The sequence below is a fragment of the Homo sapiens genome, chromosome X, assembly GCF_000001405.40.
Source record: "Homo sapiens chromosome X, GRCh38.p14 Primary Assembly".
NCBI classification, from domain to species: domain Eukaryota; kingdom Metazoa; phylum Chordata; class Mammalia; order Primates; family Hominidae; genus Homo; species Homo sapiens.
In genome coordinates, this window is record NC_000023.11 from 128,198,699 (window position 1) to 128,200,446 (window position 1,748).

Consider the following 1,748-nt stretch of genomic DNA (forward strand, 5'->3'; position numbering starts at 1 on the left):
CAGACCTAAAGAAAGAAATGCTGAAGAAAAAGAGAAAATATTGAAAGCGGAAAAATAAAATGACTTACTACATGCAGGGGAACAACAATAAGATTAAGAGCTGATTTCTCATCAGAAATAATGAAGACAAGAAGACAATGGGATGACACATTCAAAAAGTGAAAAAAAAAACAAAAACAAACCACTGTTAACCAAGAATCTTCTACCAGGAAAACCCATCTTTTAAAAATCAAGGTGGGGGGGTACAGCCAAGATGGCTGAATAGGAACAGCTCCAGTCTACAGCTCCCAGCGTGAGCAATGCAGAAGATGGGTGATTTCTGCATTTCCAACTGAGGTACCAGGTTCATCTCACTGGAGAGTGCCAGACAGTGGGTGCAGGACAGTGGGTGCAGTGCACTGTGTGTGAGCTGAAGCAGGGCGAGGCATCGCCTCACCCAGGAAGCACAAGGGGTCAGGGAATTCCCTTTCCTAGTCAAAGAAAGGGGTGACAGACGGCACCTGGAAAGTCGGGTCACTCCCACCCTAATACTGCGCTTTTCCAAAGGGCTTCATAAATGGCACACCAGGAGATTATATCCCACACATGGCTCGGAGGGTCCTACACCCACGGAGCCTCGCTCTTTGCTAGCACAGCAGTCCGAGATCAAACTGCAAGGCGGCAGGAAGGCTGGGGGAGGGGCACCTGCCATTGCTCAGGCTTGAGTAGGTAAACAAAGCAGCTGGGAAGCACCAACTGGGTGGAGCCCACCACAGCTCAAGGAGGCCTGCCTGCCTCTGTAGGCTCCACCTCTGGGGGCAGGGCACAGACAAACAAAAGACAGCAGTAACCTCTGCAGACTTAAATGTCCCTGTCTGATAGCTTTGAAGAGAGTAGTGGTTCTCCCAGCACGCAGCTTGAGATCTGAGAACAGACAGACTGCCTCCTCAAGTGGGTCCCTGACCCCCGAGTAGCCTAACTGGGAGGCACCCCCCAGTAGGGGCGGACTGACACTTCACACGGCCGGGTACTCCTCTGAGACAAAACTTCCAGAGGAATGATCAGGCAGCAGCATTTGCGATTCACCAATATCTGCTGTTCTGCAGCCACCGCTGCTGATACCCAGGCAAACAGGGTCTGGAGTGGACCTCCAGTAAACTCCAACAGACCTGCAGCTGAGGGTCCTGTCTGTTAGAAGGAAAACTAACAAACAGAAAGGACATCCACACCAAAAACCCATCTGTTCATCACCATCATCAAAGACCAAAGGTAGATAAAACCACAAAGATGGGGAAAAAACAGAGCAGAAAAACCGGAAACTCTAAAGATCAGAGCGCCTCTCCTCCTCCAAAGGAATGCAGCTCCTCACCAGCAACGGAACAAAGCTGGATGGAGAATGACTTAGATGAGCTGAGAGAGGAAGGCTTCAGAAGATCAAACTACTCTGAGCGAAAGGAGGAAGTTTGAACCAATGGCAAAGAAGTTAAAAACTTTGAAAAAATATTAGACGAATGGATAACTAGAATAATCAATGCAGAGAAGTCCTTAAAGGACCTGATGGAGCTGAAAACCATGGCATGAGAAATACACGATGAACGCACAAGCCTCAGGAACCGATGCAATCAACTGGAAGAAAGGGTATCAGTGATGGAAGACGAAATGAATGAAATGAAGCGTGAAGAGAAGTTTACAGAAAACAGAAGAAAAAGAAGGAAACAAAGCCTCCAAGAAATATGGGACTATGTGAAAAGACCAAATCTACATCTGAT